General features: G+C 34.4%; 1 protein-coding gene across 4 annotated transcripts in view, besides 1 other annotated feature; it reads right to left on the bottom strand.

The window, feature by feature from the left end:
- CWC27 (CWC27 spliceosome associated cyclophilin) overlaps positions 1-25,322 on the bottom strand; it is a 249,846-nt gene that overhangs the window by 178,649 nt on the left and 45,875 nt on the right. The window lies entirely within an intron of this gene.
- Positions 5,467-5,667: a silencer, noted in NCBI's record as "peak5266 fragment used in MPRA reporter construct". NCBI's record gives its function as "represses an SCP1 promoter by STARR-seq MPRAs in K562 erythroleukemia cells {active_cell/tissue: K562}" and the evidence as "EXISTENCE:reporter gene assay evidence [ECO:0000049][PMID:32103011]".

Genomic DNA, 25,322 nt, shown 5'->3' with positions numbered 1-25,322 from the left:
TTCCCAGCCACAGACTCAGAGATTTAGCTCTGGAGAGGGCAAGCCTGAAGGGCTATGTCCCTGGCAGGGAGCCTATATGCACTAGTTTCCTCCAAAGAGAGCCCCTAGAGACTAGATCTAAGGGGGTTTATAATTTACAGTCTTCTGGCCACATATGACCCTGAAGTTACAATGTCCCTTTATAGGATGTGTCAGGAGTCCTCTTTGGCTGCTTCCTCTTTGGTCACTCAATCAGTTCCCATGTCAAGTTGCCACTTCTTTTTTCACAACCAACTTTTCCCCATCTTTTCTGTGTTTTTTTCAAGAGCTTTAATCTCCCCCTTAGATAAGTGCCACAGATTCCTAACTGATCTTTTTGCTTCTAGTCTTCCCCCACTGTAATCTATCTCATTAAGATAGTACTCAAAAATATTAAATAGATCCCAAAAGAAAGCCGAAATAGTCTGCTTCAAGATCTCTACATTCCAGCCCAACACTTCTATTCCCAGTATTTTCCTGTGGAGATAGTTAGGCCTTTTACAGTGCCCTGCCCTCATCAGGCCCTGTGCTTTCTCGTTTCCAAGTACTTTCTCAAGTCCCCTCCAAAAATAAATTACTTCCTACCTGCTTCATCCTGCTACATTTATGGCCTAGCTTAAATGCTACCTATTCCATTAAGCTTTCCTTGTTCACAAAAGTCAACTATTCTTGCCTTAAATTCCTTAACACTGCTTGTATCATATATAACTACTCACAAGCTTCTAACCCTGCACCCATTACATACTTCTGTATACTATAGCCTTTCAAACTCTCATCTTCTTCATTCTTGAATGCTTCACACGGCCATCACAATTCAAAATCCAGTAGATGAATACTGAATGAATGTTTCTTCTCAACAAATATTTTAAGAGTCAAGACTTTGTCCTCATATATCTAAATTCTGTGCACCTCACACATTTAAAGCCCTCAATGAATACAAGTACTTCACTTATTTACTCATTCAATAAACATTTCCTGAGCACCTAGTATATGCCAGACAGAAGTTAGGAATTCACAAAAAGGATTCCATTAAAGTTCTGAAAATGGCCCCACCTTCCATTGTTTTTTGAAAGATATTCTTTTCTCATCAAAAAGAGATAGACCAAACAGCTTCTCACTTCCTGTTAGGTCAAATTTTTATAGTATGACTGATTATTTTCATAGTATGACTGATTATTTTTCATAAATCCCCTAAGCAGATATGACAGATATGGCTACATTCAAACCTGAGTATAAAAATCATTCTAAATCCAAACATAAGTGATTTTACAAATTTGGTGAATTTTGTTTGCCATACTTCTCTGTCCTTTTCTCTAACATAAAATAATCAAGAGCTTACTGGGTTACTCTAAAATTCAAAGTTATAAATTTCAGCTTTAATACCTATGGGGAAATGGGCTTTCCGGAGCACTTGTAAGTTTGTGGCAGAGAACACCTGGGTATTAGCTCTGCTTTCTCCCTCTGGATGAGAACATGTCCTTGCTGACACTGAGTTCACTTCAACAACCAGGAAACTCTGGTAATTATAAACATTCCCTTAAAAGGAAGCCCACAGATTATTAGTTCATGTTCCCTGGAATAGTGATGAAAATGCAATAGCCCACAGATTGTTAGCTCTTATAGAATAGTGACTTAAAAAGGGCAGTGACATAGTAAGAAATGAACTTTCCTGGTTCAGGAACCCTATCTGTATATTGTATATACATAATCTATATGTATATTGTTATTAGCAGCTGTTTATCTCTATTGAGGGCCTTTGTGATGAAGAGAAATTATGCTGATATATTGCATCTGTTTCAACTCTGACTTTACTTCTAAAAACATCGGATCTTTGGTTAACTAAATTGGAAACATAAAGCTAAAAGCACACATGTGAATGTACATATGTATGTGTATATGTTCTCCTCCTGTCAATCCATAACCTACCCAAAATGCTGTACAAGATTTAGAGGAAAACTAAGATAGTAAAAGCAATCTAATGACTTTGATCAAATAAGTAATGCTAATTCCTAAGGAATAAATCAACTATATGACCAACACTAATTGTAGAGAATGCTTATTTGATTAGTTGAAAAGTCACTAAGGAGCTGAACTTCTGCACAGGATAAATGTAGACATCTAAAAATCTCTAGGAAAAATGTAGTATTAACTAAGGTGCTTTTTGAGGGACACTTCAACTTTTTAGGTATGACATCCAAAAGACTGAAAAGGTTAAAACGTCTTCTGAAGGAAATACTATGAAAAGTTTTCAACTTCAAAAATACTTTGAAAGTAAAGAGGTTTCTATGATCGGCGACAACTATTTCATATTTTGTAGTTTGAAAATGTTCAGCAAAATTACATAGCTTAACTAAGTTGTAAACCTCTAAATAAGAGAGACCCCCGTGAGGTGAGGTTTGGCTTTTTTTTTAATGTCAAAATGGAAAATACAGTGGTAAAATGGTAAAATGAATTTCTTTAACCCTGAACTTGCTTCATATTCTTGCTAAGACAAAGTCATTTTGCTATTTAAAAGAGATAAGACTAATGCTAGATATTAAACCCAGTAACTTTATTGAAATATTTTCTGGTTTCTTCACAAAAAAAAAAAGAGAATGAGTTTTGAATCTTCTCATGAGTTTTGGAACCAAATTTGACACTTTAGTAGCCAAAGTAAGCAATGGAGTCACATTAAAAACTTAACTGTCTACAAAAGGTCTGCTTATTTAAAAGTTAATTAAAACTATGCAGGCTATTGAAGAGCTTAACATCTTCAACTCCTAATCTCAACAACCAAAAATGTAGTTACATATGATAAAGATTACAAGAATGCCATTTTACACCAAAGGTGTTAGAACTCCTTCTTGAAACAAAAGACCCTCTGATATATCTACTTTTGTGCAAAAAAATAAATTCTTAAACCTAATAGCTGAACTCATTCCAAAAATGCAGAGAGAGCCTCATTTTCTGAGGGTTTCTCATTTGTACCTGGAAAAGACTTGAGCTTGAATGACTTGTGAACCGCAATTACGCACACCCACAAATGTCTTACTGCAGACATGAGTATTTGTTTGTAACATTTGGTGGGTATGAAGTGGCAAGCACGAAAGCCATCCTTTTGAAACTTTTCCTGGTGTATGGAAAATCTTAGTTTCTCATTTATGTAAACCAGTCCTGTAACTCAGATAAATACAACTCTTTGGAACAGAAATATTACCACGTCCTTGCTTTCCTCAGCTAAACTTAGAGCACTCAATGATGGGCACATTTTCTGGGTTCCACCTTCTGCAAACAAATTTAAAAGTACTGAAAAGTAACCAAGGCTTTACATCACAGAGTAACAGATTTGGGAAAGAAGGCTGGAGAAATGTTACAAACAGTACTGTTACTCTGTTGGGTGATTTAAACAGTAAGATTTATTGTCTCCTTCCAGTCTAAATTCTAAACCATGGATTTTGTCAAAGGTTCATACTAACTCACATCAAATTAGGCTTGATGTGAATGAGCCAACTCATTCCTAACCACATACTAAAAGTAGGAAAATGATTTGCCTTTTTGTTTTGTTTTGTTTTGTTTTAAGGTCACATGCCTGGGACTTCTGCAAACAGTAGTATTATTAAAGGGAAATCTCCATGCAGTTCCAAGAATGATAAAAACATCTCCACAGAGGAGATATTTCTGATTAACAATTGAATGAAAGTAAAAACAGTAAAGTGAAATTTAAAAATAGAACATACCACATAATGCTTTGCAAAGTAACAGGCAATCAGTGCTATTTGTGCCTGACTGCCTTGAGATTAACTTTTCTCTTTCCTGTCCATTGTCTTCTAGAGCCACAAATGAACATTAGGTTACCTCAAAGGTGTAACATTTCTAAGCACTTTGAGGAAAAAGAGGGGCTTCAGCAATATTTAAATTTAATTGTAAACTATTTGCTTAAGGTTCACTAAATTATACCATTATTATCTATAAATGTGAAAAGAATATACTCTCATCTGAGTGGGTGGCTTAAATGTAACTTTACTTATTTGAATATAATATTCAAATACTTGCTAAACTGATAGTGGGATATAATTTATAAACTACTTTATTGCTTCATTAAATATTTTCTTCTTGGGTTAGGTAATTTAATGTCTAATCATTTTATCACCAAAATTAAACTTATAGTTTTTAAATCTTTGTTTCAGTTTGATTGCTCACATTTCAGCAGTCCCAAGGATTATGATAGGCTCACAAAGAAACAAGAGATATAGAAGCAACACATATCATGACAAGACTCAAGTCCTTTTCCTTAGGCAAAAATACAGTGGTTTTCTTCATAAAAAATATAAAACATGAAGATATAAAACAAAAGTCATCAGAAAAGTCTAATCAATTTTGCTAGAGCCTATAATGACTTAGATGTTCAGGAGAAAAAAATACATTGTTAAAAGAGACTGAGGTTCCACACAATGAACAAATATCAAAATGATATTTAAGTTATACCAAAAACTTGACCATCAGTTCGTGGCAAATTATTCCTTCTAATAGAAATGAATCTACATTACCTATATTTAGCAAGATCACATCATAGAGAAATATAGAGCTATTTCCACTGCTAATTTACATAATGGAAAGTGGAAAAGTTTGCTGTTTCCACATGCCAAGCCAAAATATATAATTATCTTTGCCAAACATTCAGCAATCTACAGGGTTTGCATGCATAAGACATCCATAGCCAGGATTACATTTGCTTTATGGACATCCATGTAAAGGGAAATAGGAACACTGACTTAGTCTATAATCCTTTATAAAATGTGATTTGGACTTTTACTTTACACAGAAATATTTATTTATTCAGTAAATTTTTGAAAACTAAAATTTCTAATTCTGATATTAGAACAACTCTCTAAAGACATTATGTTAATGCACAGTGAATAATTTTTGTGGAAATCATCTATTGTTAGAAAACTTTCTTCAGTCTATTATGTGCCTGAAATGATAGCTTTTTATTCACAAAAATAAATAAAATTACCCTTATAAATGTAAAACCCGTAAGAAAAAATATTTTTTATAAAATTATCCATTTCTGTTTTGTTAATTTGGATTTTAAAAGATGTGTTTCTATACTACCAAGAGGTTTCTATACTATGTAAGAGGTTTCTATACTATGCAATCTCCAGAAACCTTCAGTTGTTTTGGCGGTAGGACCCAGGGACACTCCCAGAATTGCAAACTCTTTTCCTGTTCTACAACTGAATCCAAGGACAATCTTTAGAAACAATTCTTGCTTCACCAAATATAAAGCTTGCTTTTGGAGATGGCTCAGGGGAAAGGATTAAGAGCTTAGGTGTACACAGCCTGAAGAAACAGGATAGTATAAGCATTTGAATGGGAAACTTTTGGATCCTAGGTATAGAATACACATGTGTCCTTGGAGTTTACAAAGAAACACTCTAGTTTCAACAGAAACAAACAGCAGAAAGACAAGGAAGGGCAGATATCAGTAAAAATACAGTTAAGATAAATGCTTGGAAATCGCTCCACTTTCTTTTTGAATGTGTCACTGTACTGAGCATTACCTTTTGGCCAAACTAACAAGAGTGATTATCATCTACTTTAACTTAGAGTGAAAGGTGTTTCATAGGACTCCAAAAACTAAATTATAAACATGAGGTTAAAACAAAATATGAGGTTATTCCAGATCTCTTGGAGGGACCTAGAAAATTACATCAAAGTTCCCTTAGTTTAAAAAAGAAAGAAAAAGTTATCTTTGTGTTTATGATACATAAAAGAATACTAAGGTAGTATGAGGAGACTTAATATCAGAGCTTTACAGAGGAGTTCACTGAAAGTTCAAATCAGAAAAGAGCAGAGTTATGCAGCTGGTTACAAAAATCACAGAAAAAAGTTGTACTTGTTACCTTATTACGCAAACAGATATGATTCAATAAAGCCTGAAAGTTTTTTTTCTTAATTTGGTTTTACTTTCTTTAGAATGTATTTGAATATTCATGATATAATGTGATTTCTTTAAAAAAAAAAAGCGAGGGGCATGACAACTTTTGAGATTGCTTCCATAAAACAATTCACAGCTGATTTTTCCTCCATCTCATGTTTAGTGATACTATACATATTATTTTTGGTAATTCTCATTTACTATTCTAACAGAACAATTTCATCCAGTGTTATTAATGATCAATATAATAAAGTTTCCTGTTGGCCCCAAAAGTATGGTTAGGTACTTTTACTTTCAATCAGAAGTTCCGGCAAATGTTCAAGAAAGACAGGAGCAATTAAGAGCTTATATGTTCTGAATAAATGATGGGTCTAACTTAAGGAAAGAATAATTTTGATTATATTCAGACACTCAACATTCTCCTACATTGTGTGGCAAAAATGGTAACTAGCTTCAGCACAAAGTTCTGGGTGAAGGTCACAGGAAAAAGAAAATCAAAACTATTTGAGTATGTCCCTGAGTTACCAACTTCCAAATAAATCTAGGTTGCAAAGAATACATAAACTGAAAATAAAAGCCTACATAGAACAATACAAGTGGTTGTTTAACTTCTAAGATTAACCAAGTTGTGCCATCACTTAACACTGAAGTGCAAAACAATCTAACAACCTCTTTATACCACACCAAATACCTCTCAAGGACATTTAAATTGCTGAAGGAATAATCTCAAAAGCATGCATTGGTCAATAAGAGAATCCAGTTATATACAGATGGTGGCATTTATTCCTCCATCGCTGATATCAAAGAAATTCAAAGTGGGTGCTTTACAACCTAAAATAGTATAAACAAAATACAGAAAGAACTGTATCTGAGGATCTTTAGAACTAAACTATGTGTCATTTATCTGTTCTGGTTTAAGCATGAGCTGATTTGAAAGCAGTGAGATGAACCTGAATGGAGTTTTCAAATATCCAGAACCAATGGAATACATACATAAATCTGTGTGGGGGGGTATGTGTGTATAATACAAAATAATTTGGAAATACGTGGGCTTACCATCTACCAGTTACTGTTCTAAGAGCTTTACATATTTTAAATCATGTAACTTCACACAAATCCTATAATGTAATACTATTATAAGTTCACTTTACAAACGAGAAAACTCAGGTTACAACTTGCTCTAGATCTCTAGATTTCATAGCTCGGCAGAGCCAGATTTGTTTGGTCCTAGAGTCTGTGCTCTATGCTCTTAAGCCACTATATAAGCAGTTCATAAGTATGGTTTGTGGACCCTGGGAAACTCTGAAATCATTTCAAGAGCGTCTATGAGGTAAATAGTATTTTAATAATATTAAATGTGATTTGCTCTTTCACTGTTTTGACATTTGTACTGAGGGTACAACTGCTGCATGAGTCAAAGCGGTGTAGCAAAGTCTAAAAGTCATTGTATTTGTCTCTGCTCACAGTAGTTTTTAAAAAATGCCAGTTTCATTTAATATCCTTGATGAAGCAGTAAAAAAAATATTAATTTTATGAAGTTCCAACTTGAATACAGTATTTTGTGTTATGGAACAGAAGTATGCACAAAGCACTTCTACTGCAGACATAAGTATGATAGTTGTTTTGAAGAAAAACACTTGTGCGAATATATGAATTGTGAGCTAAAACTGGTTTTCTTTATGGTATACTCGATATTTGAAAGAAAAACTGACAAACTTTGTTATTCTAATCTGGAAACAAAGTGAACTTCTCATTTAAAAAAAAAAGACAAACTATTAGTAGACAATAATAAAATTTGAGCTTTCAAGCAAAAGTTGGAATTTTAGAAAACTCAAAACCACTACCTTGGAATTACCGAAACACTGAAAGATGTTTTTGAAAATAAGGGATGACATTAACAAATGTGATTTTTTGGATATTACAGAACAAGATGTATCAACATTTGGAAGATCTGCATAACTTGATGGATCAATGCTTTCCACATGACTAATGCACAATATTACAAAATCACACATGGGTAAAAGATTCATTTAAAGTGCAAAATAAACCAATGGATTTTAATGTACAAGAGACTAGGAAGGGTTTATTTATTTGGTTTTAGATTTTACATTGCATGCAACTTATAAGAAATTACTACTTGTTGAGTTTTGGTTAAGTATTAAAAAAAGAATAACCACAAATATATGTGCTATTAAATAGTCCTCCTTTCTCACATTATATATCTATGTAAAGCCAGATTTGCCTTCTACAGCTTGACCAAGACAACATAGTACATACAACAGAGTGAATAAAGAGGCAGATATAGGAATCCAGCTGCCTTCTATTAAACCAGTTATTAGTTATAAAAATGTAAAATAAAACCACTCAATTTTTTTTGGCAAAATGGTTATTTTTTTCTAAAATGTATGTTTTTTATGTGAAGATTTAATGGAGTTTATTATTAGTTTTCCTTTCCAACTTTTATTTTAGGTTCAAGGGGTACATGAGCAGGTTTGTTACATGAGTCAATTGTGTGTCACAGGGGTTTGGTGTATAGATAATTTTGTCACCCAGGTAATCAACATAAAACCTTATAGGTAATTTTTCAAATGTTTTTTAAAATTTCTGTTTTAATTTCTAATAAAGTAAATATCTATATCTATATCCATATCTATCTATGTGTCTGTCTATCTATCTATCTATCTATCTATCTATCTATCTATCTCAAATAAATAAAAGCTTTTTGGAGTCCTCAATAATTTTTAAGATTGTAAAGGGTCCTGAGGCCAAAAACTTTAAGAAATGCTGAATAAAACTACACTCTCTTCTACAAGTGTGAGTGAGTGTGTATATATACACATGGTGGTGGGGGGAGGGGAGGAAAGTAGGGATTTTCAACTTCCCTAAGGGGAAGAAAATGTACTAACCAGCAAACATGAAAATTACCTTAGCAATTATAATTCTATAATTCAAGAAATTGTCATACAACATTTTGAAAAATGGCATTTTCACTAAGCAGAAAATAGAAATAATAAGCTAGAAAACTATCACAGGTTTGATGAGGAGTAAACCTGTTTGAGCACTACTGAATGTCTGAAGTACACAAAATCAAATGTGTGGCTCAAAAATAAACCATATTTGTAATGTAAGGCAATTACTGATACAAGCATAACATAATATAATAGACAACATATTCAAATCCTTGAAGAACCAGCTGAGACATATCATTTTTAAATGTGCCCTAATCACACATCAGATGCTCAATAAATGTATAGCAAGACTTAGAACCAACCCAAATGTCCATCAATGATAGACTGGACTAAGAAAATGTGGCACATATACAACATGGAATACTATGCAGCCATAAAAAAGGATGAGTTCATGTGTCTGTTGGCTGCATAAATGTCTTCCTTTGAGAAGTGTCTGTTCATATCCTTTGCCCACTTTTTGATGGGGTTGTTTGATTTTTTCTTGTAAATTTGTTTAAGTTCTTTGTAGATTCTGGATATTAGCCCTTTGTCAGATGGGTAGATTGTAAAAATTTTCTCCCATTCTGTAGGTGGCCTGTTCACTCTGATGGTAGTTTCTTTTGCTGTGCAGAAGCTCTTTAGTTTAATTAGATCCCATTTGTCAATTTTGGCTTTTGTTGCCATTGCTTTCAGTGTTTTAGTCATGAAGTCCTTGCCCATGCCTGTCATGAATGGGGTTGTCTAGGTTTTCTTCTAGGGTTTTTATGGTTTTAGGTCTAACATTTAAGTCTTTAATCCATCTTGAATTAATTTTTCTATAAGGTGTAAAGAAAGAATCCAGTTTCAGCTTTCCACATATGGCTAGCCAGTTTTCCCAGCACCATTTATTAAATAGGGAATCCTTTCCCCATTTCTTGTTTTTGTCAGGTTTGTCAAACTATCGCAAGGATAGAAAACCAAATACTGCATGTTCTCACTCATAGGTGGGACTTGAACAATGAGAATACTTGGACACACGGTAGGGAACATCACACACAGGGGCCTGTCATGGGGGGCCGGGGGAGGGATAGCATTAGGAGATATACCTAATGTAAATGACGAGTTAACGGGTGCAGCACACCAACATGGCACATGTATACATATGTAACAAACCTGCACGTTGTGCACATGTATCCTAGAACTTAAAGTATAATTAAAAAAAAAAAGAATGGAAAAGAAAAGAAAAAAAAATGGCATAGCGAAAAAAAAAAAAAAGATGAGTTCATGTTCTTTGCAGGGACATGGATGAAGCTGGAAACCACCATTCTCAGCAAACTAACACAAGAACAGAAAACCAAACACAGCATGTTCTCACTTTTAAGTGGGAGTTGAACAATGATAACACATGGACACAGGGAGGGGAACATCACACAATGGGGCCTGTAGAGGGGTGGGAGGCTAGGGGAGGGATAGCATTAGAAGAAATACCTAATGTAGGTGACGGGTTGATGGGTGCAGCAAACCACCATGACACGTGTATACCTATGTAACAAACCTGCATGTTCTGTACATGTATCCCAGAACTTATAGTAAAAAAAAAAAAAAAAAAAAGTGAATAAAAGTATTAAAGTGATTTTCCTTCCTCAGGAAGTTCTCAGCATTGAAGTTATTGTCAGCATATATTCAGCAATTAAGTATATGAGGCCTTCTGTGTAGTTCTAACGGTATTCCATGTATTTTACATATATACACACATTTGTATATGTATACAAATGTAAGTTACATATTTCTTTCTCGATACCTGTTTTTTTACTAGTAGAGTTCTAACAGATCCCAAATTAAATTTTTCAAATTGGGGAAAAATTAACATCAATTATAGCCTGTTTCTGGAGGGAAATTTTACCTATTCTAAATAACATACAAATAAAATTACAAACATGATCCATTCATAAGTTGAGTCAGTACTGACATTAAGCCATTAATTCTAAAATTGGAAATTGACTGAATTTCCTGGACCTAACAAATAATCTCACAAGAAAAAGAATAAAACACATGAGTCATAAAAGGTAGAAGTTAGGCTTGTTTTTAGAAAATTCAAATCATGAAAAATCATTTTATAAGAAATGACATTAGCAATCTAACTATCCTGTTATAATACAATCTGGTTCAAATAAATACAGAAATTTTAAAAATCACATTTTCATTTTGTACATTGATATTATCATTTGCATGATCACAGATTCAACATTCACTCATTCCATTAAATAAATGGTTGAATATTTACCATATACCTCATACCACAGATGGCTGTGATCAGCTTCTCTAGGTGGCTTCCTGCCCTTTTGCTTGCATGTACTCTTTTGATTAACTATTTTATGGGTAGAGGGAAATAATGTGAATATAGTAACTGTTTCTGAATTTGATGTGTTGTTGTAAACTGGTGAGTGGCCTGGGAACTTTCAGAGGATAGTACAGGTAAAACTAAGCCAGATTTACATTCAGACTCAGATGACCTAGGTTGTCAATAACAAAATAATCTTGAACAAGTCACTTATCTTCTATTCATAAAAGCTTTATCTGTAAAATAAGGAAACTGGGTACTATTCTCTGAATGTTTACAATCTGTCTTGGGCCTCTTTTATAAGGGCATTAATCCTACTTATAAAAGAGGCCCAAGAGAGGTCTCAAGCCCCCTCTGCCATTTGAGGATGCAGCAAAAGACAGCTGCCTATGAACAAGGAAGTGAGCACTCACTAGACATTAAATCTGCCAGTGCCTGAATCTTGGACTTCCCAGCCTCCAGAACTGTGAGAAAAAAAAAATTCAGTTATTTATAAGCCAGCCGGACTATGGTATTTTGTTATAGGAGTCCAAACGGACTAAGACACTGGGAGACAGTTAATATGGTTCTTTCAACTTTAAACTTCCATAATTCTATTTAGGTGCTGTAAACATTTGGCATAGGAAGATTAAGTGGGACAGAGGATTAAGTACTACTTAATAGGAAAACAATGGTAGTATAAATGACTCATCCTAGCTACTTTAAAAATGCCTAATACATTTTTCTTAAATTAAAAATGTCACATAGTAAAATGAACGCATTCAGAAAGAATCACCTGAAAAATTCTGAAAATTATTAGAGAATACATAGTCCCCCTGCCTTATCCAAGAGGGATACATTCCAAGACTCCCAGTGGATAAAACTGCGGAAAGCACGCATAGTATAAAACCCCATATATACTATGTTTCTCAATTTGATACCAAGATGGCTACTACTAAGTGACTACCAGGCAGCTAGCATATAAAGCATGGATACATTGCACAAAGGAACGATTCTTATCTTGGGCAGCACAAAGCAGGATGGTGTAAGATTTCATCACACTACTCAGAACAGCATGCAATTTAAAACTTATGAATTATATATTTCTGGAATTTTCCATTTAATATTTCTGGACTGTGGGCAATCAAAACTATGGAAAGCAAAACCATGGATATAGGTCGACTACTGTGTCCTCAATAAGTATGTAGTATCTTGAAAACAGAAAAAGAGAATATGATATAATATAATTTAAATAGCTACAATTTATTAAATGCCTACTAATTCATATTAGCATTACAACAATCTGGTAAAATAGCTGTTTTTATTTCTGTTTTAAAATAAGGAAACTGAGGATCAGAGATTAAATAAGTCAGGCAAAGATACTAAGTTAAAAAGTGGTACAGCTGGTATTCCAACCTGGATGTGTTTAACTCCAAAGCAATACTCCTTCCTCTATAAAAATGTAGTATTCCTGATTCCTACAAACAAGTCCTTTTTTTATAGTCAAGTTTCAATTGCTAATGGTAATGGGAAAAGAAACAACATGGAAAAATAAAACTCATGCAAACGTGGTATAAAAGCTTATGACATGGGATAAATTCCAGTACGATGAGTTCTGAGGCTAGGTAAGATACTGGGTCAGATGGTTCTAGGTACCTTCCAAATCTCAAATGTGAATAATATTCTCAATTCATTGAAACTTAAACAGATTATCTACTCCATTTTCCTACTCATTAGAGAAGTTTACAATTTTGTGTTAAATGAATTGTAAATTAAATACAAATATCAAGTATGTTATTTAGAGGATTGGGGGAATCTTCTAAGGAAAGGATGCGAAGACCTGCTATGTTAACTTTCTATTTTCTTTCAATGCGCTTGTTTAAAAGAAAAACACATTGAAAATTCAAAAGGCAATTTTAACCTAGGTTACTACAATTTGCTTAAAAGTGGGAAAAAATTGTTCCAGAGAAGAATATGCTGATTTGCTTTTTCATTTCCATTTACTTTTTCTTTTCTTAGGGTGAGACAACAAAATTGCCACACACATATACACACAATGCTCTGAAGAAAATTAAGGAGGACACGTCCAAGAAAATTTACCAACTAAAAATTTATCTTGGATAATGAAAAGGAAACTAAGATTTCTAAGTATTATACAGGATAAAACTGAAAGCAGAAGACATGAAACTAACAGTTGTATTACATTGTGATATTAGCAAAAAAAAAAAACAAAAAAACACCAAAGTTAAAAATTACTACTAACTTATTAACCAAAATAATTAGTGAACTATAAAGTCAGAACTTACTACTTGTCATTTAGTTTCTCAAGAATGCAATCCTGTCAAAAAAACTGATTGATCAAGGAAATTTGCAAGTTTCTAGGTATAATCTAAACATTAACATGCAAGTCTAAAGTGCCATCAAAAATATTGGGGGCATTTAGAGGACATTCCAAACAACCACAGCAGAATACACATTCTTTTCAAGTGTACATGGAACATACACCAAGATTCACTATATGATGGGACAAAAAACAAGTCTCAATAAATGTCAAATAACTGAAATCATACAGAATATGTCCTCTGACCACAATGAAATTAATGTAGACATCAGTAACAAAAAAATATTTGAGAAATTCCCAAATATTTAGAAATTAAACAGCATACTTCTAAATAACCCACAGGTCAAAGAAAAAGTCACAAGGGAAATTAAGAAACATTTTGAGCTGAATGAAAATGAGAACACAATTTTGTCAGTCCAGGTTCAACCAGAGAAACAGAACCAGTAGAAGACAGATAAATAGATAATTGATGGATGGATAGATAGATAGATAGATAGATAGATAGATAGATAGATTTATTACAAAGAATTAGCTTATACAATTGTGGGAGCTGCCTAGGCAGATCTGAAACCTGTAGAGCAAGCAAGCCATCAGGAAGGGCGTGCTGGAACTTTTGGGCATGAACTGAAGCTACTATTCACAGACGAAATTTATTCTTTTTCAGGGAAGTCTGAGCTCTGCTCTTTGGACTTTCAAATGATTGAACCAGGTCCCCAGATTATCTGTGATAATCTGCTTTACCTAAGTCACTGATTGTAGACGTTAATCACAACTACAAAATAACTTCATACCAACACCTAGATTAGTTTTTGATGGAATAACTGGAGTCCATCGCCCCACCAAGCTGACTTACAAAACCAACCATCCTAACAACATATCAAAATTGGTGAGATGCAGACAAAGCAGTGCTGAGAGGGAAATTTCAAGTTTTAAATGCATATATCAGAAAAGAAGAGGGGTTCAGAATCAATCATCTAAACTTCCATCTTTAAAAGCTAAAAAACAAAACCCCAAAACAGACAAGAAGAAAAAGGGGAAGAGCAGAAGGAGCAAATTAAATAAGTAGAAAAAAGGAAGTTGGAGAACTACATGATTTCAAGCCATACTAATACAGATCATGTAAACATATATCTCAAGGACTTTTAATAACATAGGAAACTTGCCAATTTGGTAAATTGTTAGTTCCAACCTCTCCCTGCTTACCACGTTCCAGATATAACTTTCACAGAAGTTGAGACCTAGATGCACCCTTAAAGGTAGCAGGTAGTTCAATTCTTTCATTTTTAAGAAAAGAACACCCAGTGTCAAATAGTTGGGGAAGAGACATGCAAAACTATAAGCATGGTTTCCAAACTCCCTCCCACAGCTCTTTCCATTGCAACATACGGTCTCCAAGTTGCCTTATATGTTACTAAAAATTTGACACACCTGATTTACTGTGCTGTAGCTTTTGGGAAAACATGCCATTATACCTACTTGCTCATTTTCTTTTACTTCTTAAATGTATCCACAGGCTACCTTGAGAGGCACCTTTCTGTGAATTAGAAAAGAACACTTACTGGCCGGGTGCGGTGGCTCATGTCTGTAATCCTAGCACTTTGGGAGGCCGAGGCGGGTGGATCATGAGGTCAGGAGATCGAGACCATCCTGGCTAATCGGGTAAAACCCCGCCTCTACTAAAAATAGAAAAAATTAGCTAGGCATGGTGGTACGTGCCTGTAGTCCCAGCTACTAGGGAGGCTGAGGCAGGAGAATCTCTTGAACCTGGGAGGCGGAGGTTGCAGTGAGCCGAGGTCGCACCACTGCACTCCAGCCTGGGCGACGGAGTGAGACTCCATCTCAAAAAAAAAAAAAAAAAAAAAAGAGAAAAGAAAGGAACACTTCCCCTGGGGGGTGCCTTCTAGAGGAAAAAAAAAAAAAACCCACAAAACTTTTCTAGACTGAAGGATTAGAAGAAGGTACCCTTAGGACTGACATACCCTCACACCAGTGCAGAAGGCTTGGTGAGTAGAGCCCCAGCTAGATTTCAGCCCATACTCACATTCCATAACTAAGCTTCCCTTTTCAGGTCACAATATGCACAACCATCTTTAGTAGTCCACTTACTAATCATTCACCATCTTGCTGAATGCAGAAAATCAAGTAATGTTAGTCCATAAAAATATTCCATTCATAAATGAATAACATACAGAAAAAAATCTTCTAAAACAATATCTTAAAACTCTTAAGCTATATCTTAAAACTCTTGGCATAACAAAGTTCTAATATTGTAAATACTCTAGTAAAATAATAATATTAAAAGAGGAAGACTTTATTACCAATGCTTTCTTTTAAAGAGTGACATTTTATGTTTGTTTTCTTTAGTAAGATTTGAAGTGTTTCTATAAGTGCTATATTTAAAAAACACATAGATGGAAAAAATAAAGCAAGATGTTTTCCTAAGCAATAAATGTCATTGGGTTTTCAGCAAGGACATTTATGTTTCTAAAATAAAACACTTGCATTCACTAGCTAGATAAAGTTAGAACTTTATCTTTTAAATTTGTTTCCTTCAGTGAACATATCTATAATCACATTGGTAGACACGTTATTTTTGTTCTATGAGGTTGTCATAAAGTTTTTATTATAAACAGGATGTTCTCAAATATAATGCTTTCATTTTTTATAAACATTCAAAATTAAACAAAAGAAATAAAAATAATTAACAATTTTTATAAAATACAATTAGCAAATATTATCTTAAAAGAGACCATTCCTTTCACTAGCAAAATTACTCTTATATCCTACTTACTCCAGTTTGAGTTCCGGCTGGTTGGCAGCATAAACCTGCCTTAAAACGCACCTTCAGGAAAATTCTATTTAACTTCACTTGACTTAACATTTTACAGAGATTCCCTATGTATTTAGAGTGCTCAGTCTGTTTATACTATTTGGTACTTTTTAATGTATTACTTTCTTAATTTCATGTGCTCATGTTTTACAGAGCATGAGTTAGGCAGTAATTGCATCTGATGCCAAGTCATTCTCTGTATCCAACAGAGGGATGTAGGAGGTGGGAAAACCAGGATGCTTATGAAGGATAATAGCTACTAATTTTGTAGGTAGGCTTGTCTTGTTTCCCTATCCCTATAGACTGGCTTCATCAATTCTACTTCATTGGAACTACACCCTTTAAATACAGTCGCTTAAAAGATAATACTCTGGTTGCCATATAGGCTTAATAACTATTGTCAATTACCTGACAAATTAATTTTTAATTTTACTTTGAAATACGCCATGGTTGGAAGAGAGTATCAGACAGTGAGCTGCTCTATGGTTGTTAAATGACAGAACTGGACTGTGTGGTATCAATGGTACTTTCAACTTTATAATCACAGGCCATCAATGGCATTACGTTTTAAAAGTGGTCTCATGTACACATTTCATTTGACCTTATCAAAACACCACTGAAATAGGAAGGGCAGGTATTGATTGCATTTTACTGATGAGGAAGCAGGAGATTCAGAAAAATTGGTTTACTCAGATCTCATTTCTAGCAAACAATGCTGGCATCAGAACCTAAATATTCATAGATCACAGTTGTCATTAAATTTGAGTAACATTTGTTATTCAAATAAATTCTAGCCTAGTGCTAGAAATAAAATTTGTTTTAATCGTGCTATGTAAATTCATTCTTCTCACTAAACCATTACCTCATTTACTGTAGTGATTTGATATTCATTTTCAAATTGTAAAAAGTAAAATAATAATCTAAAATAGTAATCTTAACAAACCTTCCTACTCATATTACTCTTTTCCAAAAATGCAGAAATTCAATATTAATCCAGCCTTGAATCCTTCAAATTGATTTACTCTAGTTTTAAAAAAATTAATCTATTAATATGTTTATCTGTACACTTGAAATAACACACAAATAAAGCAAAATGAGTTGTATTTACAGTTTATTATACAGGAAGGTAAATCATTATCTGGTTCCAACCTATCTTTTCCAGCTTTATTTCCAACTATATTCTCTCCTCTGGTCACAATAGATTATTCCTCAAATACACCCTGTACTTTTCTCAGTTTCCTCTTCTGGAAATTCCCTTCCCCACCCATTTCCTCTTATTCAAACTCTACCCCTTCTTCAAGGCCTAAAATTAATGCTACTTGCATACATGCAGACTTCCTAATCCATAAATTCAAAATTAATCTCTCCATGTTCCATGAAGCTACTGTACTTTCTCTAATCTTGTGTTTTATATAGATTTCTTTGTATACACACAGCTAACTATCTGGCTCAGCTGAGAGCTTTATGCCACTTGGATATTGTAGATGTCTGAAAAACTGTTTGATGGATGCAAATTACCTATCAAACAGAACACTGCTTCAAGGTTTTCATCATGTCATGTCTGTCTCCTCAATCTCTAACCTTGGCTCCTCCCAGTTTATTTTCCATGTTATTATTATACAATGGTGATCTCCCAAAAACAAACCCTAATCATGTAACTTTCCAACTTTAAATCTTTGTATTGTTTTCTACCATCTAAAGGACAGAGTCCATTTCCAAATACGCCATACAAGGCCCGTCATGACCTGGCCCCAGTCTATTTTTCTAACACTTTCTACCAATTCCGGCAGACATGCAACCATGTGTACAAAAGTTCCTGCAGTTATCAGGATATCAAACTCTCACCTATCCCCTTGCACCTACTTTCTATATCCTTGGTACACCATTCTAATATCCCATTCCTTAACCCTCATCTCAACGGAGGTATAATATGGCAGTTAAGTCAAGGATATCTGTGTTTAAATCCTATATTGCCAAGTTCTGGGAGAGTAATCCTGAATAAGTTAAACTTTTAAAAACACAATTAGGGAAAGGTGGGAAAGCTCTCTAACTTCACCATTCTTCCCCTACTCTTTTTGCAATACCACTCTGATCCTATGGTAAAGAGAGCAGCTTCAGGATTTTCTGCAAAACAAAAAACTAAGGGTTAGTACTAGAATGTAAGCTCTATGTTCCCTGCAGTAGAAGATTAAAACAGGTAAGTTTTAAAAACAAATATGCCTTAAACTTTCTTTTCCTCTAGTTCCTTATTCACTATATGCTGAAGTGTGAAGTAACAATACATAGAAAATGTTAAATCCTTTTTGGCTTAATAGTCCATCTCAGCAAGGATATTAACATATTTTCACGTTTATTTGCCTCATCTATTATCTTTGGGGAAATATCTGTTAAGCTCTTGTGACCATTTAAAAAATTACTTTGTTGGCCGGGCATGGTGGCTCATGCGGTCAAGACATTGAGACCATCCTGGCCAACGTGGTGAAACCCCGTCTCTACTAAAAATACAAAAATTAGCTGGGTGTGGTGGCACGTGCCTGTAATCCCAGCTACTTGGGAGGCTGAGGCAGGAGAATCACTTGAACCATGGAGTTGGAGGTTGCAGTGAGCCAAGATTGCTCCACTGTACTCCAGCCTGGCGACAGAGTGAGACTCTCTCAAAAAAAAAAAAAAAAAAATTGCTTTGTTTTCTTATAGTTGAATTTTAAGAGTTCTTTATATATTCTGGATACAAGTCTTTTATCAGATATATGGTTTGCAAATATTGTTTTCCCAGTCTGTGGCTTGTTTTTTAATCTCCTTAAAAGCATCTATCACAGAACCAAAGGTTTGTTTTTTTTTTGATAAAGTTTACTTCATCATTTTTGTCCACAGATCATGCTTTTTGTGTTTAAAAACTCACTGTCAAACCCCAAGTTCATACAGATTTTCTCTTTTTCTTCTAGAAGTGTAATAGTTTTATGTTTTGGTCTATGATCCATTTTGAGTAAATTTTTATATAAAATATAAGGTATGTATCAAGATTTATTTATTTGCACATAGATCTCCAATTATTCCAGTACCATTTGTTGAAAGGACTATCATTTTTCAATCCAATTATCTTTGTACCTTTGTCAAAAAAATCAGATGACTATATTTGTGTAGGTCTGCTTGTGGACTCTGTATTCTGTCCCACTGATCTATCTCTCTATCTTTTAACCATCTTTTCTTTTTTTTTCCTTCTTTAAGATTTAATAGGTATGTCACACTCTAGATATTGGTTCACATATACTTAAGTGGCTCTTCTAGTTCAAGGTATCATACTCTGTAAAAGGATTTCTTTTTGTTCTAAGAATTAGAATGAAAATATAACAACAACAACAACAACAAAAAGTTAAACAGAACTTGAGTGATGTGAAGCAGATAAAGACTGTTGTACAATAGCACAATATACTAAGGCCAGGTCACTGCTCTGGCTGAAAACTGGGAGTTGTTTCACCTTAAAGAGCCCAGATGAAGTGTGCCCTTTGGCATAGTATATTTCCATGTCAGATTTACAGCTTTGTAAGGTTTTATTTGTTTCCATTTTGTTTATACCCGGTTTAGGTGCCAGGTGTTCATCTAAAGTAATCTTGAGCAGTTACAGTATTTAAAAAAAAGAACAGTTCAAATAAATACACAGCATCAACTTTCAAACACTCTTAAAATATTAGTTAAAACTTTTGAAAGAATAAACTGAAAATTTTCTCATATATGTCTTTGTTGGAATAAACACTATTTATCAGTTTTATGAAAATTATTTAGTAGGGGTTTTTATACATATTAATAGCAAAAAGCTCTGAATGACCTTAAACTGCATGAATTAAGGTAATTCAAACATTCTCCCAAACTATGACCATAATACCAAAGACTGAAAGCAGTGATGCTGCAATTTAACCATCCTTAGGTTGTAATTCCTTTCTAAAGGCAAGAGTCCTAAGTTGTCAGTTTGTGTTGCAGGCCATGCTTAAGTACTATAATAGGTGTTTTGTCCCCGTATTAGTCCATTCTCACGCTACTAATAAAGATATAACCAAGACTGGATAATTTATAAAGGAAAGAGGTTTAACTGACTCACAGTTTCACATGGCTGGGGAGGCCTCATGATCATGGCAGAAGACAAAGGAAGAGCAAAGTCACATCTTACATGGTGACAGGCAAAGACAGCGTGTACAGGGGAACTCCCCTTTATAAAACCATCAGATCTAGTGTGACTTATTCACTATCATGAGAACAGCACGAGGAAAGACCCAGCCTCATGATTAATTACCTCCCACTGGGTCCCTCCTACAACATGTGGGAATTAAGGGAGCTACAATTCAAGAGGAGATTTGGGTGGGGACATAGCCAAACCATATCAGTCACCCTTTTTTAACTTTATTTTAGGTTCGGGGGTACACACGAAGGTTTCTTACCTAGGTAAATACATGTCAGAGGGGTTTCTTGTATATATTACTTCATCACCCAGGTATTATTAAGTCCAGTATGATGTCCCTTTTGTCCCACTGAAAATTATTATAGTTCACTGACACAATTTAGAAATAAAGCTAGTTTGGCTAACAAAAGGAAACCTCTCACTTTGTCTCCTTAAAGTCAAGTGACCATTGTCTTCTGCAAACATCCGAACCTAGCATTAAAAAGACAAAATAATCTAGATCCCAACTTGCTTTTTAACTTTATTTGCCTTTATTCACCTATGCTCCCAACATATACGAAAAAGCTAAGCAACATGTGTATTTTCATTACTAATTAATTGACCATAAAACCTAGGAGCAAATATCTTTAAATAGCTACTAAAAGGTAAGCACATTTTGTTCTATAATTATTTTCATACTATACAGCACAGGCTAAAACAATAAAAGGAACAAAACATAATTTTTAAAACTTCACTAAAATACTAAGAAATCCTACCTGAGAATGAGTATAAAGCCAAACAATAAGGCTGTTGAATAACTGCAATGTTATCCTGGTCTTTGATTTCTGGGCTATTCTCCAGTACCATCAGGATTAGATAACCTCACCTTCTATCACACTAAATGTATTTCCACAGGTCAGCTACATATATCATTTTTTATAGGTGACTAGACATGTACATACATACTTCACCCAAAACTTACTCTTACCAAACAGCAGCAGGATATAAAATACAAGGTCCCATAACACCCTAGTCTTTGTCCCAGGCCTATGTAATATTTATCTGGATGCTTTGGAGCCAAGCCAAAGGCTTTTCGTTTTAACTTCATTAAACAAAGCCTGTCTTTAAAATATTTCAAGTTACTGTCAATATTGTGAGCAAAAAAAGCATATCCGGAAATTCTATTAATTTGTAATGACTAATAAAACTAAAGTAAACGCTTATCTAAAAGGAAGAAGAAATTGGCAGGAAGTCATTATATAACTTTCAAAGCTAAGAAAACATTCTTTTTTCAATAGAATCAAGAAAATCAAATATACAGTAAGGACAAATCTAACTTCCTATCTATTGAGTACATACATACCTTTGATCTAATGAATTTCCAGAACAAATTGAAAATACAGATTAAAAAGAAGTGATTCAGCAACTTAAACTCATATGCCAATTAACATCTGCCTTTGACCTTAAGAAAAGTACTTTTCAGAAAGAGCAGAAACCCACCAATTATCATATAATTTTTAGACTTTTAAAATAAGATAACTGTAAAGAAGTAGGTAAATCAACACCATAAATGTTAAAATGAAAAGCAGGCTAAGTTCACAACATAAAATTAGGAATTAGAAAAAGCAGTAACATGTATTAAGGGTCTCTAAAAGAAATGTGAGTACACAAAAAATAAATCAAATGTGAAATTACATTTAAAGATATAACAAGGCACTGATGTGCTTCAAAATAAAAATGGAAATCCTACTGAAGGCTTAACACTCACATAGGTGCATTTAAATGGTAAAAACAATTAAATCAATATATATGCACACACATAAATTAAATAACTGAGACTCATGGTATAGCTATATCTAAATAATAAAGAGTAAGGAGGGAGGAGAGATCAAATATCACTAACATATCAAAACTAGCAAAAAGCTAGGAAATAATCATAATGAATTCTGTGAGACTTCAAAGTAGGTCATTACTGAATGGTTTATATTGTGTCTGCTGTTATAAGACAATTACACATAAAGGCCAAGATTCAGTAAAACTAACAAAATTAAACAAATCCACTCATTTAGAAGATTAATGTTGATAAACACTACAGTGGTTGTTAGTTCTTAAAAAGTTGTAGAACTTTGTAGAAAAAAATGATTTCTAAATTATATACTAAACCTACTGAGGTTTTGTTGTTGTTGTTGTTGTTTTAGAGGAGTAGATCCTAACATATGTATTTTATGAAAGTCAAGCAAATTTTATAAATTTGTCTTTAGGTCACTTGAATAAGTACCCCTGGTAGAATAGAGGCAAATTGTTTTAAATAGTATAGTCTGAAAAGGCCTCTCTGTTAAGATGATATTTGAGCAAGGGACTGAACAAAAAGAATGAATGGCTACTAAGAATAACTCAGAGAAGAAAGTTTCATGCTGAGGTAACTAGAAGTGCAGAGGCCTGAAAGAGGAGTGACCTTGGTATGAGAAGAATATGCTTGGTGCAAAGTGAGCAAAAAGAGTAAAGTGGGTAATAGCACGGCCAAAACATATGAGAAAGTAAAAGGATATGAGGACCAGGACACAGAGTGAAGGGGTTGCCCTTGCCAGAAGAAAATAGATTCAGATGCAGATAGGTAGATTTGGTGGTGGGAAAAGGAACAAGTTCTCTCTCACTGCTTCTGTTTCTTAATGAAATACAAGGTGATCAGCCAAAAGTGAGAAGAGGGGTAGAGATGCTGGGTGTTGCAAAGTGATATGACTCTCTTCCAGGAAAAACAAGAAAATCAACTACAAAAACTATTAGAAATAATGATGCAGCCATTCGTTTCCTCCCTGCTGTATTCCCATCTTAGAGAACCTGCTCTATTCACAGGCCTGAAAAAAAGCTGCCTTGTATCATTTTGGGTTCTACCACACATAAGAGAAATTTCAAATAATGTGACTGAATCAACCTGAAAGGTAGTTTATCTCATATAGGAAATGTCCAGAGGTAGGCATTTCAAGCTGCAACAATGGTTCCACGAAGTCTTCAAGGACGCATGCTCCTCTCTATTCTACCGTCCTTAGCTCAAGTCATCAAATCTGTGTGCCAGGCTGACAGGAAGAGGCAGGTACGAAAGAGGGCTAGCTTCTTTCTTCCTTCCTTTAAAAAAGACGGCCTGAATGTCTGACACATTTCTGTTTCACCTCTTTAGCCAAAATTTGGTCATACGACCATACTTAACAATGAAGGAGACTGATGAATGTGTTTCAGTTAAGCAGCCATGACTCCAGTTAAACACTGGCATTCTGGTAAGAGGGAAGGAAGGATAGATGTTGGAGGAGCTACCCATCCTTGCCACATCTGCATACTTCGTGGCTTTCCATTTCCTCTATCAATGGCATAATTGAGTGGACACCTGACCTGGGCCACGCCAATAAGATTCTCTCTCCCAAATATTCAGATTTTGGACACAGAAATCCAGTCAATTTACTTCTGAAGAACTCAACTGCAACAAGTAGCAGACTAGAGCTCTATGGAGAAAACAGGTATGTGAGGATAATGGAACAAATGAATAAAAGAAAAGTATAAGAGAAAAGCTGCAAAAAAAGAGAGAAAATGTAACTTCCTGACAACTTGCTTTCTTGAAAAGACTGTATGCAATTCTTTTATCTGGATTCTATACAACTCCCCTATTCCTTCATACAGAAATTCCTTTACTTGAGCTAATTTGAGTGGGTTTCTATTCCTTATAACCAAAGGATTCTTAAGATATCTAATAAGAAAGTTACAATTTAATGTTGTATGTATATGAAGTGTTATTCATCTGTGAAATTATGGAAGATATCCACTGTATTCTTCTCCACCCTTGGGTGTAAAGACTGATAAGATAAAATTTCCTTTAGAATTTTGTACTTCTAGAAGTCTGAAATAACTAGGAATTGATATATAGTTTTTTTAAAAATTCAGGTAATGGTAATTATATAATTTTTATTATATTTGCCATTTTCTTCCTCCAGGCTGCCAGGAATATGATGATCAAACTTACTACATAGTCATAGATGTAGACAGCAATTTCTGTTTAAATCGTAGAGACTGTAGTAGATTGCATTATCTTTTCCAACAGTTCACTGCTCCTCCCTATGAAAGGTTTATACTTCATCCTATTGACATCAGGCTTAACGATATAACTTGCTTTGGCCAGTGAAATAAAGTGGCATATGCCAATTCGAAGCAGACGCTTTAAGAGCCAGCATATCATTCCTTCATCACTCTTTTCCTCCTGCCATGAGAGTAGCACATTTCAGAGAGGAGCTGTTCCTTCATCCCAGGCCTAGAATGAAGATGATGTGGAGCAGATCCACAGCTGCCCATCAGGATGTAGCCAGAGCAAGAAAACAAATATTAGCTGAGATTTTTAAGCCACTGAGATTTGGGTGCATAACCTAATATAGCTGACTAATAAAGAAAGCAATTGAATAAGAAACAATTCAGGATATACGTTTATGTGTAGCAAAACAGAGGTATATCAGAAAGGACCAACAGGGCAAAAATATCTGAGGAGAGGAGTAGGAATATCCAGTGTTCCTATCTCAATGCTTATTACTACTACTTCTTAGCCAGTCTTCCAAGCCAGAAAACTAGGAGTCATCTGGAATATACCTTTGGTATATTTGAAATATACCTTCAGGTCTCCTACATCCAATCTGTTACCATGTCTTAATAAATCTACCTCCTTAATATCTCTCAAATCCATCCCCACAGATACTACACCTTAGTTAGGCCCTTATTACTTCTCCCTGGACTAGTGTAATAATCTAATTCGTCTTTCTGCTTCAGTCTCCTTCTAATCCATCCC

The sequence above is a fragment of the Homo sapiens genome, chromosome 5 (genome assembly GCF_000001405.40).
Source record: "Homo sapiens chromosome 5, GRCh38.p14 Primary Assembly".
Classification (NCBI taxonomy): domain Eukaryota; kingdom Metazoa; phylum Chordata; class Mammalia; order Primates; family Hominidae; genus Homo; species Homo sapiens.
Note: the sequence above shows the minus strand (reverse complement) of the source record. Positions and strands in the feature narration are given on the sequence as shown.